The 14,192-nt window shown below is 56.9% G+C and overlaps 1 protein-coding gene across 6 annotated transcripts in view, besides 1 other annotated feature; it reads right to left on the reverse strand.

Annotated features, from left to right (window-relative positions):
- Positions 1-14,192, reverse strand: part of MACROD1 (mono-ADP ribosylhydrolase 1) — a 167,556-nt gene that overhangs the window by 139,390 nt on the left and 13,974 nt on the right. For 5 of the 6 annotated variants that reach the window (XM_011544970.3, NM_001411019.1, NM_014067.4 and 2 more), the window contains exon 3: positions 13,292-13,408. In XM_011544970.3, the coding sequence (XP_011543272.1) occupies positions 13,292-13,408 (117 nt within the window). Of the gene's footprint in view, positions 1-10,670; positions 11,088-13,291; positions 13,409-14,192 lie in introns of those variants that run through there. The other variant, XM_005273940.3, reaches the window with a different exon arrangement.
- Positions 8,020-8,521: an enhancer, noted in NCBI's record as "H3K4me1 hESC enhancer chr11:63913439-63913940 (GRCh37/hg19 assembly coordinates)". NCBI's record gives its function as "activates a minimal SCP1, AML or CMV promoter by ChIP-STARR-seq in naive H9 embryonic stem cells {active_cell/tissue: H9 hESC(naive)}" and the evidence as "EXISTENCE:reporter gene assay evidence [ECO:0000049][PMID:30033119]".

Genomic DNA, 14,192 nt, shown 5'->3' on the forward strand with positions numbered 1-14,192 from the left:
TTAAAAAATTAATGCCAACTCATATGCCCATTTCCTTGGTGACAGCAGTCACCATTTACTGAATTCCAATGACTTGTCAAGTGTTTGCATGCACCATCCTCTGCCTTCAGAGGGGACATCGCTCTCCTGGGTTTACAGGTGAGGAAACTGAGGTTCAGGGGAGAGGTGTATCCCGGCCAAGGTCACAAGAGCTAGCAAGTGGCCACAGCAGGACTTGAACCCAGCCCTGTCCCATGCGCACCGGAAGGCTCCTGCCTCCTTGTTAGGAGGAAGAGGAGGCTGGGTGGAGGCCGAGGCCAGGGAGGCCCTGAGAGGCAGTCAGCTGACCCACAGAACCCCCTCCCCGGCACTGCCTGGTCTCCTCCCGCGCAAACATACCCCACCTTCCTGTGACCCTCACGGGGAAAGCTCCCCGCAGGCTGCCAGAGGGGATTTAGCTCCTTTGACAATTGAAGCTGCAAAGCTCTCCTCACAAATGTCAATTCTGGGCCATTTGCTTCGTAGATTTTAATGTTCCTGTTTCTCCTCAACGTCCTCAGCAAGGTAGCTCTTGCTTTTCAAAAGGGATGTGGCGTTTGATGATGTTTAAACCGTACCTGAAATACAGCCAGGCGGCAATAATAAAACAGCCGCGGGCCCTGCTGGCAGAGGAATGGCTGACAGCCGGGCCTCTCTCCCCAACTGCGATGCCGCTCGGCTCTGGTTTTTACCGCAATTACAATGTCCGAAGACAGGGAGGAGGCAGCAGCGGGGAGGAGGAGAGTGGGGAATGGGCGTTCAAGGGCCACTTGTTGCCGCCAGGAGGTGGGTGCCACTGATGGGGATTTTTTTTTTTTTTAAGACAGAGTCTTGCTCTGTCGCCCAGGCTGGAGTGCGGTGGCACCATCTCAGCTCACTGCAACTTCTGCCTCCCAGGTTCAAGCAATTCTCCTGCCTCAGCCTCCCGAGTAGCTGGGATTACAGGCACCTGCCATCATGCCCAGCTAATTTTTGTATTTTTGTAGAGACAGGGTTTCACTATCTTGGCCAGGCTGGTCTTGAACTCCTGACCTCAGGTGATCCACCCACCTTGGCCTCCCAAAGTGCTGGGATTATAGGCGTGAGCCACCGCGCCCGGCCCACTGATGGGTTTTAATGAACCGAAGGGAATGCCAGCCATGCCTCAGTGGAGGAAGCCGCCAGTGACCTCTCAGCCCCACCTCTGCTCACTGCCTCCCGCACCACTGTCAGGACAAGCTCTGTCCTGGTGCCCATCCTCCCCCGGATCTGCAGCCCACATGCTCTCCATGCTCCTGCATCCTCCCGTCCTCCCTGGCTTCCATCTCCTGACACCCGGCGCGGATATAAACAGCCGCGTCCCTGCCCCTGCCAGGAGTGGACAGAGCAGGAGACTCCCACACAGCCGTGCCCACCAGGGCAGCCTGCTTCCCCATAAGACTCCTTAGCCATGAGCCATCATGAGTTCCTGTATGTCCTTCCAGGGGCAGGCATGCTCGGGCTGCCCCCACCGCAGAGGAGCCCTGTCCAGGGACGGAGACCCAGAGTCCATGGAGCTGCCCCTGCCCTCGAGGGGCTCGGAGTCCTGTGGGTGGTGAAGTGAGATCCCTCACTGCTAATAACAGTCACTACCGTTTATGAGCCCCTCCAGTGTGGTAATGCATTTTTTTCCTATTAATGCCCCCATAAGGAACAGATGGGAAACCCCAAGGCCTAAAGAGGCAGGGGCTGGCCGGGTGCGGTGGCTCATGCCTGTAATCCCAGCACTTTAGGAGGTGGAGGCGGGCGGATCACGAGGTCAGGAGATCAAGACCATCCTGGCTAACACGGTGAAACCCCGTATCTACTAAAAATACAAAAAATTAGCCGGGCGTGGTGGCGGGCGCCTGTAATCCCAGCTACTCGGGAGGCTGAGGCAGGAGAATAGCATGAACCTGGGAGGCGAAGCTTGCAGTGAGCCGAGATCACGCCACTGCACTCTAGCCTGGGTGACAGAGCGAGACTCAGTCTCAAAAAAAGAAAAAAAAAAGAGGCAGGGGCTTGCCCAACATAGTGGAGGAACCAGATCTTAGCCAGTTCTGTCTGGTAAGCAGCCACTGCCCTGGCCTCTGGGACCTCCAAAGCTGGCCAACCAAGCATGCCAGCGCCCTCCACCCCACCCCTGAAGGCCTTCAGGGGTCTTCTCTGGCAGCTTAGGCCTCAGCAGATGGCAGCCAGGCCCTGACAGGGCCACTTCAGTCACCTGGCTTCTCTGGGGACATCCCCTGTCCTAGCCCACCTCACGCCCCACTGCACAGGCCGTTTCCATGTGACCACACATCTTTCCCAATGGAAGGCAGAGCAGGCATGGACCGCCTTGCTGGCAGTGGGGAGTGAGGGGCCCAGGCTGCCTGCCCTGTGCCCTCATGGTCAGGAAGCCCATCCAAGAGACTCTGGCAGTCAGGAGAGGGCCGTCCCCTCGGCCATGCCAGGTCCAGCAGGTGACTCGATTCCCTACCACGAATATGGGAAGGAGGTGCCTTCAGCCTGTTCAGGATAGAGGGACCATTCCCCCGTTCCCAGCCCCACCAAGGGCTGGGTGCAGGGCAGGTGCTGGCTGATGGGATGCCCGGTTCAGCGGGTCTCAGCAGCCCTCCCAGAGCAGCAGCTATGGCAACAAGAACTAGAGCTGGCATCTCCTGGGCGCTCACTCTGTGCCAGACACTGTACTGAGCATCCTACACAAGCAGTCTCCTCTCAAACCCACAGTGCTGGGGGCTGGGTCCCCATGCACTCTTATCCCTGTTTTACAGACAAGAAAACAGGCTCAGAGAGGTTAAGTGATTTGCCCAAGGTCACAAAGCTGGTACACGGTGAAGCCAGGACTTGTACCCAGGACTCCAACTCCCAGTTACAAGATGTCCCATATGGCCAGGCACAGTGGCTCATGCCTGTAATCCTAGCACTTTGGGAGGCCTAGGCAGGAGGATCACTTGAGCCCAGGAGTTTGAGACCAGCCTGGGCAATATGGTGTAAATCCACTTCTACCAAAAATACAAAAATTAGCTGGGCATGGTTGCATGAGCCTGTGGTCCCAGCAACTCGGGAGGCTAAGGTGGGAGGATTGCTTGAGCCCAGGAGGTCAAGGCTGCAGTGAGCTGTGGTCACACCAGTGTACTCCAGCCTGGGTGGCAGAGCAAGACCCTATCTTTAAGAAAATGTCCACATGGAGAATCCACAGTAGATGGGGCTATTCGTGGTGGGGGAGGTGAGGAGACGGGGCCTGGGTCCTTGACTGTTAATCCTGCTATGTCCTGGAGGCCACGCCAAGCTGGCACCAGGCCCGGCCAGGACTCATCCAGGAAGCCCCAGGGTCAGGGTCTGGAGAGTGTCTGAGCCCACTCTAGAGGTCTAGGGAAAAGATTCAAGTCAACGCACCCACAGACATTGCCATCTGCACAGAGCCGGGGAGCGGGGGCACTGTGGCCACCACGTGCTGCTGCAGCCAGACCCCTTCATATCCTAGGCACACAGAGTACCCATCCGTTAAACGGGCAGGCAAGCCACGGCCTCCTGGGGAGCCCTGAAACCAGCTCGGCTGTGCCTTGCCAAGGAACTGGCGGATCATTCCAGGAGAGCGAGCCAAGGGCTGCAGATCCAGCCCTTTTCATGCTTGGCCAATTTAATGGTCCCCATTAATTTCAAAACACACACATTCCCACAAGCTCCGGCCTCCTCGGCTCAGTGCTCGGGTGGACAGCACACCGGGGACGCAAGCAGGGGCACAGGTGCAGGCGCTGAGGCCTCAAGGACAGGAAGGAGCCACAGAGGATGTGCTCGGGACACTGGGCACAGGGTAGGAGGCAGGGTGGCCACCCCATGTGGGGGCAGCAGACTCCTAGCTGGGGTTTTCTAACTACGAGTCTGCCGCGAGGGGGAGAAAAGGCCCTTGGGTTTGTAGTTCTGCTTTGCCACCTTCCTGCTGTGTGACCCTGAACAGGTCACTGTCCCCCTCTGGGCTTTAGATCCTCCCCTGTCCTCCTCTACAGGACGCCAAATGCCAGGAGGGCAGGCACTGGGTTACACTGGGCCTTGTACCTCCAGCACCTCAAAAGGAGCCAGGAACCTCATAAGGACCTAGAAATGCCCACCACCATCCTAATCTGTAAAATGGATCAGCCCCTTCAGGCCTAGAGGGGTGGGGTAGGGGGCTGGGCTAGGCAGGAAGAGGGGACTTAGAGGGTGTCACTGATTCGTGCAGCCCCTCCCACCATCTGACCAACTCTCAAGGGCATGGAGTCACTTATTCATTCAACAAACATCAGGTCAGACATGGTGGCTCACACCTGTAATCCGACCATGCTGGGAAGCCAAGGCAAGAGGATGACTTGAGCTCAGGAGTTTGAGATCAGCCTGGGCAACACAGGGAAACCCTACCTCTACAAAAAAATTTACAAAATAAATCTACTGAAACCCAGGACAGAGAGCTACTGGGTCCACAGTCTACTCTCACATTCCCCATGGAAATGACAGAAGAACTTCAGGTAAGAAGCAGGGGACGGGGCGGAAGACCTTGGGGTGGAAGGACCCTGGAAGGTCCTTTCTGAGTGCCGCCCCCCAGCCAATGCTCCACTCACTGGACCAGACCCTGCGAGCCCACAAGGGCATCTCAATAATTCAGGAGGGATCCATCATTTATGAATTTATGTAACCACTGCCCGATCTTGTGGGGATGAGCCGCCCTCCTCTTGCACTGGCGGAAATTAGCTCCTGGCTGTGTCTGGGTGTTCCGGGCTTTCTAATGTGGGGAGGGGGCCTCTTGGACCCCAGGCATCCTGACTGGCCCCCCTGATCAACTCTGCCCCTCACTTCCAGACGACCCAGAGGGAGCTGGTGAAAAAGCAAAACTGGGCCGGGCATGGTGGCTCACGGCTGTAGTCCCAGCACTTTGGGAGGCTGAGGCAGGTAGATTGCTTGAGCCTGGGAGTTCAAAATCAGCCTGGGCAACATGGCGAGACCTCGTCTCTACAAAAAATAAAAAAATTAGCTGGGAGGGGTGGCATGCCTGTGGTCCCTGCTACTCAGGATGCTGAGATGGGAGGAACGCTTGACCCCAGGAGGTGGAGGCTGCAGTGAGCCATGATTGCACCACTGTACTCCAGCCTGGGGAACAGTGTGACCCTGTCAAAAAAAAGGAAAGAAGGGAGGGTGGGAGGGAGGGAGGGAGGAAAGGAAGAGAGGAAGGAAAGAAAGGAAAAAGGGAAAGAAAGGAAGGAAGAAAGGAAAGAAAGGAAAAAGAAAGAAAAAAACCTGATGGTCTCTCTCTTAAACCCCAAATCTGAAAGATGAGGGTTTGATTCCCAGCCCTGCCTTTTACCCAGAGCCGTGACCTGTGGGTGCCTCAGTGTCCTCATCTGTATAATGGGGGAAATGTCAGTGCCTGACTCAGACACGAGGCAACGTGTGCAGCGTGTTGAGCAGAAGGAACACTCAGTACCAAGCGGCAGGTGACAGGCTGCCCTCAGTCCAGAGCCGGAGCTCCATGGGGCATGCCGGGGACTTGAGGGGGCTTGGGACACAGGATACCGGGCAGGCTGAGGGAGCTGGAGCCCACCAGGAGGCCTCAGGGGACCCAGGAGCCCAGATTCAGATGTTGGTCCCATCTTTTTTACAACGACCCCTCCCCGCTGTGGCAAACTTCTGCCCCACCTCTCAGTTTCCTGGCCGTGAGGACAGACAGGACACACCCACTCTCAGAACTCAAATTCATCAACCAAAAAAAAGAGAACAGAGAGGAGGTATTCCCTTCCCCCAACCCCGACACACACATACACACACACACACACACACACACACACACACACACACACACACACACAATTTCCTGGGGGCTCTGGAGCTCGGCAAACCTCCCATCCCAGCTCTACTACCATTTAGCTGTGTGACCTTTAGCAAGTTGTTTCACATCTCTGAGCCTCCATTTCACCATTAGCACAATGAGACTGATATAGTGCAAGAGAGATTAACTGCACACGGTATGAATGCAGCCTAGACCTAGAGGGAGACACCTCCCACCCCAAGCTCTGGGTCTCCCTGTCCTTATTATCTTATGCTCCCTGCCCCCATTTTTCCACCTAGCAGCCCAAGTGATCTGACCAAGCCCCCCCAACTCAGGCCCCGGCCGTGGCTCACTCCAGACCCCTCAGAGCCTTCCCACAGTGTCCCGTCCACCTCGCCCCTCCCTGTCTGTGCTCTCTCCCCACAGAATGCTCTTGCCCCGACTTCTGACTTAGCACCCCGTCCAACCCAAGCACCCTCTCCTCCAGGCAGCCTTCCCCACTGCTTCCCTCCCCTGTAGGCCAGACTCCTGCCTCTCATGCACCATGGTTCCTTTTCCATTCACATGTGTTACCCCTTATCCGGAATTAGAGACTGTGTCCTTTGCAGCCCAGGCCCACCCCACGGCGTGGTGCACAGCAGCCGTATCATCTATGTATGTTGCATGGATGAAAGTGCCTGAGTTCGAATTCTGGCTCAGTCACCTGCCGAGGTGGGGCTTGTTATCTGATCCCCGAAAATGGGGTAACAATCCTGCCTGCCTCTCGGGCCTCTGAGAGCACTGAGCACATCCAGAGTGGCCAGGGCACCGGAAAGTGGCCCGGCCCCACCTGCTCTTGGCTTCCCCGAGGAGGAGGGAGCCCGGCCCCACCTGCGCTTGGCTTCCCCGAGGAGGAGGGAGCCCAGGGCCAGGCCCATGTTGCTAACAGGTTCCAGCTGCAAAGTCTGCTGTACAGCCAGCCCTGGACTCGTCGCTGGCCCGGCCATCTCCCCTGCCCACTGCGGAGAGGTTTCTGCTGTCGTGGTGGCCGGCAAGCCTCAGCAAACACATTAAAATCTGAAGTGACAGATAAAGCGATTTACGGCGACAGTTCAGCGTCAGATCACTTCCCACAAGGCAGTCCGCATCCCTGCGGGGCCCCTGCTTGGTAGTCCATCAAGGCGGTCTCTAAATCACTGACTCCAAGCAGTGCCCAGGGACAGCCGGACGCAGGGGCGGGTGGCCGCTCAGGTGGCCACTCAGGTTCTGGCCTGCTCCTTCTCACCAGGCCAGGCTCTGCTGGGCCCTCCAGGCGGCAGGAGAGGATGAGGCAGGGGCTGCCGGTGCTTGGGAGGAGGGCGGTGATAAGCGGCCAGCAGATTCTCACAAATCAAAGCCCCAAGACTTAAGGAGATAGAGCGCCACTTCATGACTTATTTTAAATAAATAAGCGGCTTAAAAATCTCCCTGCGAGGTCGGCTTGTCGCTGTGAAACATGGCTTCCCACCCGTCCCCGCCGCACACCTGGGCCCCTCAAAGGCTAGCTGACCCGCCTCGCCTCCCGCCACCTCCTTGCAGAATTAATTGGTCCCTGCGGCGTTGCGTGGCACTTTGTTCAGACCTTGCTCCTAGCACTTTGTCACATTATACTCTGCTTAGTAGCTCTCGCTCCTGACTTCCCAGTAATCATTTCCTGGGGACTCTCCGTGTGCCAGGCCCTGGGCCCAGGGCTGGACAGGCCTGAACTCCTGTCCTCCTCACCCCTGCCCTTCGGTGGAACTGATGCTGATGCCATTTCTCAGATGAGGAAGTAGAGGCCACGGAGTGGCCAGCAGGGGTGCTGGGACCCTGACCTGCTCCTGGCCACGGTGCGCACAGCCCATGCTCACTGCTCTGGGCTGGCATTGAAACAAAAGATCCCTTCCATCTTTGCACAAAGCCTTTCATCCATCTCTGCCCTGTCCTCTTATGACATGAAGGCCAAAGCCAGGCAGCTGGACCCCTGGGTTGGCCAAGAATGGGGATTTTTCTTTTTTTTTGAGATGGAATCTTGCTCTGTCACCCAGCAACCAGGATGGAGTGCAGTGGCACAATCTCGGCTCACCGCAACCTCCACCTCCCAGGTTCAAGCAATTCTTCTGCCGCAGCCTCCTGACTAGCTGGGACTACAGGCGCATGCCACTGTGTCCGGCTAATTTTTGTATTTTTAGTAGAGACCAGGTTTCACCATGTTGGCCAGGCTGCTCTCAAACTCCTGACCTCAAGCGATCCGCCCGCCTCGGCCTCCCAAAGTGCTAGGATAACAGGCGTGAGCCACCGTGCCTGGCCAAGAATGGGGATCTTTCTTTGTGCCCGGACATGTCCTGCCCAGGACTCTGCTATCTGTCAGGAACAAGAAGTCCACACACACAGGTCTGGTGCACCAGGAAACTCAAGGGCAGGGAGGTGGCCTAGTCAAGGTCACTGCACCCCCGTGGTAAAAAGGAGACATAAACACCCTGGCAGCCACAGCACCCCCTAGTGGATACCCTGAGACCGGCGCTCTCCCCAGACACAGGACTGAGGTCATAGGCAAGGCTGGAGAGGCAGGCACCGGCTCTGAGAACCTCCTCCTCCAGAAGAGGGGGCCTGCGGGGGCTCCCTGGCTTATCTCCTGCACATGGCAGCCCAATTTCATTAAGACGGATGCGCCATGCTCCTGTGGGCAGGAGCCGTGGCCGACACAGATGGCAGGAACCTGAGACTCTCCCGGGTGCTACCCAAGCAAGTGGCCTCAGCTGGCAGCCCACGGGGACAGGGCCCAGGGAGGCCTGCACTGTGCCTGAGGGTGTGGGGGTTTGTTCCGTCCCTGCAACTTCAAGCCCTGCCACCCGCCAGCCAGGCATCCCCACTTCTATGCTTCTGCCCAACCTCCCACCTCACTCCCACCACATCCCATACAAACACACATCACACCACACACACCCTCCATCACCCACACCCCATGCATCACACAAGCACAGACACACACACATCACGCACACACACGCATCACACACATCATACAAATGCATACGCACACCCCACACACATAGGCCAAACTCCTGACCTCACACACACACTCTATCACACACACCCCACGCATCACACAAGCACAGACACAAACATGCTACATCACAAACACACGCACCGCACACATCACACACACAGGCCAAACTCCTGACCTCACACACACACCATCACACACATCCCAATCACATCTCATAGCCCAATAATGTAAGAGTGGAAACCAGTCCTGAATTTCAAATGCCAGGAGATCAGTAGGGAAACAGAATCTGATTTTCTTATTTTTATTTGTTTTTTGAGACAGCATCTCACTCTGTTGCCCAGGCTGCAGTGCAATGGCACAGTCACAGCTCACTGCAGCCTCGACCTCCCAGGCTCAAGCAGTCCTCCCACTTCAGCCTCCCAAGTAGCTGGACTACAGGCATGCACCACCACACCCTACTAATCTTTTTTAATTTTTTTTTTGGTAGAGATAGGGTGCCACTGTGTTGCTCAAGTTGGTCTCAAACTCCTGGGCTCAAGCAATCTTCCTGCCTCAGCCTCTCAAAGTGCTGGGATTACAAGAGTGAGCCACCGCCTGCAGCCTCAGAGTCTGATTTTCTTTCTTTCTTTTTTTTTTTTTGAGATGGAGTCTCACTCTGTTGCCCAGGCTGGAAGGCAGTAACACAATCATGGCTCACTGCAGCCTTGACCTCCCAGGTTCAAGCAATCCTCCTGCCTCAGCCTCCTGGGTTCAAGTGATTCTCCTACCTCAGCCTCCCAAGTAGCTGGGATTACAGGTGCATGCCATCACGCCTGGCTAATTTTTGTATTTTTAGTAGAGATGGGATTTCGCCATGTTGGCCAGGCTAGTCTCGAAACTCCTGACCTCAAGTGATCCGCCTGTCTCAGCCTCCCAAAGTTCTGGGATTACAGGTGTGAGCCATCGTACCTGGCCCAGAATCTGATGTTCTATTATATATATATATATATTTTAGATAGGGTCTCACTCTGTCACCCAGGCTGGAGTGCAGTGGCACAACCATGGCTCACTGCAGCCTCAACCTCCCAGGTTCAAGCAATCCTCCTGCCTCAGCCTCCTGAGTAGCTGGGATTATAGGCACACACCACCATGCCGTATTATTTTTTTTTTTGTAGAGATAGAGTCTCACTATGTTGGCCAGGCTGGTCTCAAACTCCCGAGCTCAAGTGATCCTCTCGTCTCGGCCTCCCACGGTGCTGGGATTACAGGAGTGAGCTACTACGTCCCGCCCAGGGTCCGATTCTCAATGGCCTGACGGAGGTCACAGGCAGATGCCTCTTCAGGGAGGGGAAAGAGTGAGGGGGGCGGGCAGGGGGACACCTGGCAACTGCCCTCTCCAAGGATCCCCAGGGCCCTGCTGAGTGGCAAGAGAGATGCCCACAGCCTGGCTGGAGACCCCTTCAACCCCACAGCTTTTCAGGATGGAGGAGGGTGGGGGGTTGGGAGCTCTCCCCGCCCCCTTTCCCTCACAGCCCTCTCCTAGCTCCCACTGCACCCTTCCCCTCCACATCCCTGCAGCTGGACCCAAGCCCAGGCAGCGACAGCCCCTCCCATATGGCAGCAGGAACAAAGAGAACTGTTCCCCACAACAAAATCCAGAAGCTCCGGCGGGCGGCCAGATCTCAAGCTCCCAGCCCAGTGTGACCCACGGCGTTCTCCATGGGCCACTGACGCCCGCGGGGCCAGCACTGCTCCTGGCTTCAAAAATATAAATTTAAAAATCCCCACCCCAAGATAATTGCTCTCTCCTCTGGCTTATTGTGGTGGCTCCGTGGTAGGCACTGAGAAGCAATTATTCACGGCTAATGATTATAATCAAGTCAAATAGAATTTAATGGACACGTATTCTCTTCCTGCTTGAAACTTTACATATGAATTAAGCACATATGGGTTTCACGAGGCACAGACGCAGATTTATGCAGCCCCGAAAAGCCCTGCCGTTGCCAACGACTTTTATTCCACTAATAAACAGGCTGATATATGGGCTCCTGGGAACTGCAATCTCTGCTGCCCCCTGGTGGGCACAGGGGCTGGGGTGGGAGCCAAGGCCACCCAGGACCCTGGAGGCCTGACCAGTGCCAAAGCCACTTTGAACGCTGGGGTTCCACAAAGCCCTGGACGGCTGAAAGGAGACTCGGGCTCTGTGTGGGAAGCCCGTGTTCAGACCCTGCCTCCGTCATTCCCTGGGATTCCAGGCGGGTACCGGGTCCTCCTGGCTGTGAGAGTCTAGAACAAAAAGATCCCAGGAGAACACACCAAGAGGTGTATGGGTAAACTGAGGCAAGCAGGGGGAGGTGAAAGCTGATCATTTGCAGGAGGTACCATGTCCCTCGGCACCGCTGGGACAGGGGTGATGCCCAGAACGGCGCTGATGACACCAGTTTCAGCACCAGTGCGAGGTGCTGAGCCCCGATTCCCGCCAGGTGCTGAGTGACCGTCATTTGCACGTCACGTGCATCAGCTCCGAGTGCCCCCAGTAACCTGACGGGTGGTTTCTTCACCACCCTCATTTTGCAGAGGAGGAAACAGAGGCCTAGGCAAGGACACAGAGAAGGGGAGTCCACAGAGAAACTCAGCCAGCACTGCCCCAGCCCTGGCCCTGGTGCAAATGGAGCTGGCACTAAACCGCTTCTGATGGAGCTGCTGCATCCAAAACCTGGCGACTCCCAAGGGCACTTAGGAAGCAGTGTTAATCACGCCCACAGCCCGGGTGCAGCCTCCGGAGCGCCCCCATTCCATCTGAACCCATCAACACCCCACCTTGGTCCCTGCACCCTTTCTCCTGGCCCATGTTGCAGCGAACCACCAACCCAAGGGGGACAGAGCTCACAAGATGCCTCATTTTCCCTCCGGCCACTTTGCAGCTCAGCAAGAAGGTACCGCTGCAGTACCTCTCACACGCTTGCCAGTGACTGGCAGGGCTGGAGTACCCACTGGCCTGCCTGACTGCCCCCTCAGCCACAGCCCCAAGGCTCTGCCCTTCTGCTCCAGGCCAGCCCCTCCTGGGCACAGGCAGCAAGAACGCCCTTCTCCCCTAGGCCGCTGTAATGTCTGCCAACCCAGATGTGGCTTTGTCTTAGCTGTGTGTCCTCAGATGGACTAGCAGTTCTCATCCTAGTGGCCCTAGAGAAACACACCAGAACCACCTGCAGAAGCCCAAGGTGACCCTAGCTCTCCCTGCTGCCCTCAGCCAGCCACACTGAGCAGAAACTCCTGCCTACGTGTAACCTGTCACCTGTGTGCCTAGACAGGGAATGTGCGGGCAAGGCACCCCCATATGACTATCCAGCTTTGCAGTCAACAGTGGGAAGACGCATAGAGCAAGGTTGCTTCAGGAAACACAACTCAGACCCCACGGACCAGGCCCGGGGCGGCCGAGTGAACTCCCCTCTCCGGATCCTAGAGCCTGTCACTCACAGAGATTAACGGAAATGCTCACAGCATCAGCACCACCATGCCCCAGAGTCACTGGGGGACAGCGCTGGGGCCAGGCACGACCGCTACAAGCGCAAAGTGGGGACGAAGGAGACTCGAGAAGCTCCTGGGGGTGCCCTGGGCCTGCACAGGTTAGGGAGGGGCTGGCACAGCAGGGTTTTCCCTGTGAGCTGGAGCCCAAGACGAGAGGACCTGCCCCCCATATTCAGGGTCTGAGAAAGAGGCCCCCCTTCCTCCAATGCTTGGTGCAGATGCCAGGTAAGCAAAGGAGCAAGCGAGCAGGCGGGCGAGGGCCGGGGTTCAGCCGCCACTCAACCTGTTCCACAAGCCACCTGCTCGACTTAACCAGCCCTTGGCACCCCATGCCAAAGTCCTTTCCTGGCGCCTTTGACCTTGCCAGACAACCACTAGCTGTGTGGAGTAGCAGCCCCCTTCCTCCCTCCCACAAAGAGGCAGCCGGCTCCCATACTCATCACAATAAACTGCCAAGCCAGCAAGAGGCGAGCGCAGGAAGCTGAGCAGCTCCTGTTTCTAGGCTCTGGAAAGCTGCCAGGGCATGGCAGGGGACCTCTCTGCCCCCACTATCCCTCGACAAGCTCCCTCACCCGCCCAGGTCTGAAGCGGGGGCAGGCCAGGCCAAAGGCAGAGGAAGGCAGGTGCTGGTTGGGGCTTCTGTGGCCCCCCAAGGTCAGACCTCCCCGCTGTGGCCTCTGCCTTCCTGGCAGGGCAGCCCAGTTTCAGCCCAGCTCTCCCCCTTCCCCGGCCACTAATGGGTCTCAGTGGAGCAAGGCGCCCCCGACACAGCAGGTCAGGGTTTCAAGGGAAGAGGAGCCCGAGTGGCCGACACGTTGGGCTGCCATGGCGCCAGCAGGCTGTCCTTGCCAGCAACCCGAGCCTCACTGGAGCCAGGTGGCGTCCACCCAGGCCTGGCACAGCAGAGCAGAGCAAAGGCAACAGGGCGGCCACCAGGTCTCTGGTTCAGGCCAGCCACTCACCGGCGTTGACGATGGCGTCCACCTCCAGCTTGGTGATGTCGCTGCGGAGCAGGGAGATTTTCTCATTGAGCTGCTTGTCCTTTTTATACCTGGGCTCCTCCACCTTCACAGCCACCCCTGGAACAAGTAGGGGCCGGGGAGGTCACAGCGAGGCTGCCCACTGCAGAGGGACCCAGCCAGGGCCCAGGGGCCAGGGCCTTCCCTATCGACCTCCCTCCACCTCCAGGGGCAGCCTGCAGCACGATGACTGCTGACCCAGTACCAGGAACCCACACTGAGGAGCACCTACTGCGTGCTAAAATCACGCGGGGACTCCTTGCATCTTCACAGCAAGGCCACCAGCAGGTACAGTGCCAATATCATCTATCCCATTTCACAGAGGTAGAAACTGAGGATTAGGTGGGTCAGAGACTTGCCTAGGGTTATGGGTCACCAGGCCTGCTGTCTCACCAACACACCCCACTGTAAGCAACCAAATCGCAGCTTCAAACCCCAGCTCCCCACAAGCAAGTAATCTCGGGCAGGTGGCTCACCTAACCTAGGGCTCTGTTTCCAACCATACAATGGGGATAAAAATTGCACTTGTTGTGTTAATAATTGAATGAGATGGCCAGGCGCAGTTGCTGACGCCTGTAATCCCAGCACTTTGGGAGGCCGTGGCGGGCAGATCACTTGAGGTCAGTAGTTCGAGACCAGCCTGGCCAATATGGTGAAACCCCATCTCTACTAAAAATACAAAAATTATCCAGGCATGGTGGTGCATGTCTGTAATCCCAGCTACTCAGGAGGCTGAGGCAGGAGAATCGCTTGAACCCGGGAGGTGGAGGTTGCAGTGAGCCAAGATCGAGCCATTGCACTCCAGCCTGCGCAAAAAGAGTGAAATTCCATCTCAAAAAATAAA

The sequence above is a fragment of the Homo sapiens genome, chromosome 11 (genome assembly GCF_000001405.40).
Source record: "Homo sapiens chromosome 11, GRCh38.p14 Primary Assembly".
NCBI classification, from domain to species: Eukaryota; Metazoa; Chordata; class Mammalia; order Primates; family Hominidae; genus Homo; species Homo sapiens.